This window comes from Homo sapiens, chromosome 20 (genome assembly GCF_000001405.40).
Source record: "Homo sapiens chromosome 20, GRCh38.p14 Primary Assembly".
Taxonomy (NCBI): domain Eukaryota; kingdom Metazoa; phylum Chordata; class Mammalia; order Primates; family Hominidae; genus Homo; species Homo sapiens.
In genome coordinates, this window is record NC_000020.11 from 62,440,939 (window position 1) to 62,442,669 (window position 1,731).

The 1,731-nt window shown below is 61.2% G+C and overlaps 2 annotated features.

Moving 5' to 3' along the window:
• Positions 730–1,230: an enhancer, noted in NCBI's record as "H3K4me1 hESC enhancer chr20:61016724-61017224 (GRCh37/hg19 assembly coordinates)". NCBI's record gives its function as "activates a minimal SCP1, AML or CMV promoter by ChIP-STARR-seq in primed H9 embryonic stem cells {active_cell/tissue: H9 hESC(primed)}" and the evidence as "EXISTENCE:reporter gene assay evidence [ECO:0000049][PMID:30033119]".
• Positions 1,231–1,731: an enhancer, noted in NCBI's record as "H3K4me1 hESC enhancer chr20:61017225-61017725 (GRCh37/hg19 assembly coordinates)". NCBI's record gives its function as "activates a minimal SCP1, AML or CMV promoter by ChIP-STARR-seq in primed H9 embryonic stem cells {active_cell/tissue: H9 hESC(primed)}" and the evidence as "EXISTENCE:reporter gene assay evidence [ECO:0000049][PMID:30033119]".

Here is a 1,731-nt window from a genome sequence, read left to right on the forward strand (position 1 = left end):
GTGATGCCGGGGCCCAGGAGGAGGGAATGGGGTTACCTCTAGGGGACAAGGGGGACTTGTGTGTCTTTAAGCAATTTTAAGGATGAGTTTTTTTGGTGTGTGTTTTTAATATTTTGCAAATGATTTTTATAAAAGTAGCTCTCTGGGAGGGAAGCCATGGAGGATGGGAAAGGGCCCAGACTGAGGCTCCTCCAAAGATACTGGGTGTCACTGCAGAGCCAGTCCCTGGGAGACGCCAGGTGGAGGATCTGGGGTGGGGCTGGGGGCACAGCGGGAGGCCTCATGGTTTGCAGCGAGCAGAGGCAGAGGGTCCCACCTACCTGACCTGAGCCCTGCTGTCTGTGCTTGGCTGGGTGTCACTGACTGGTTTGCAAAGTTCCACGCCATGTTGGCCAAGGTCGGGGTCAGCTCAGAGGGCACAGGAGAACCTAGGCTCATAGCAGAGTTCCCAGGCAGAGCCGGAGCGCTTGCCCCAGCACAGCGGGCTTTGCATCTGCTGGGTGCTTGTTCTGTTGGGATGCGCCTAGGACCCCTGGAGGGTGCCTGGCCCAGGTGTCTGGAGCTGAAGGGGCAACTCTGGGTGCTCCACTCAGCTCTGCCCTGTAGAGGGGCTGGCAGCCTTAGGGGTGTCCTGCAGGCTTCGGGGGCTTCGGAGGCTCCTGCAGTCTGTGTCTGAAGGGCTGTTTGGCGCTCCTTCCCAGCTTGCTCCCCACACAAGGGCCCAGTGACCTGCCCTCTGCTCCCAGGGTCACCAGCGTCCAGCCTGGTGTGCTGCCCCATCCACAGCATATAGCCCAGGCCCCTCCTCTCCTCCAGCTATTCTTCCTCTCACACCTTTGGGGATCCCCTTCCTCAACCCCCCCCTTGCTGGAGACTCCCCTAGGCCATTGCTCCTGCATACCCTGGCTGGGTCTTAGCTGGGCCTAGGAAAAGACAGCGCATGCCTCTTCTTCCTTGGGGGCAGGGGTAGGTAGAGCCTTCCCAGCGAGGGCAAGGGCGAGGGTGGTGAAGACACAGAAAACCCTGCCAGGTGCCTTGTGACCCTGAGAGGAGGGGGCGTACCCTGGGGGACTGGGTGCAGGGAGAGCTGCCTGTGAGGCAGCCTACAGGCCAGCCTGGGCCTTCCTCCTTCCTCCACAGAGGATGCCTCCTGAACACTGACGGGCTGTGAGGACTCCACATGCGTCTCTCTGAGCCACTGCAGCTCCCCTCGGGGCCGGCACCGATGTAAACCCATTTTGAGGGCGAGCACATGGATTCTCAGAGACGCTGAATCACTCGCTCCAGGGCATGCGGCCACTGGGGCTGAGAGCCAGGGGTGAGTCCAGGCCAGTCTGCTCATGGTCAGCCCTGGGTGATGGTCAGTCAGGGTCAGGGTCGGTCGGGGTCACAACCAGCCAAGGTCATAGTCAGGGTCATGGCCAGCCAGGATCAGGGTTGGTTGGGGTCACGGTCAGTCAGGGTCTTGGTCAGGGTCATGGTCAGCTGGCTGGGGTTGAAGCAAGACTTTCAGGTTCTCTCTGGTGTGCTGCAGGCCCCCAGGTGGGTTAGGAAGCCCCACCGTGGCAGAGAGACGTCCCTGGACCCTGGGGTCCAATGCGCTTGCCGTGCAGGTGGAGGAACTGATGCCCGGAGCAGAGATGACCCTGCCTCTCACCAAGTCCACACTGTGCTGTCGTAGTGGGGCTGGTGGGACCTTGGTAACGCTGGGGCCCCCCATGCCCTGCGGAT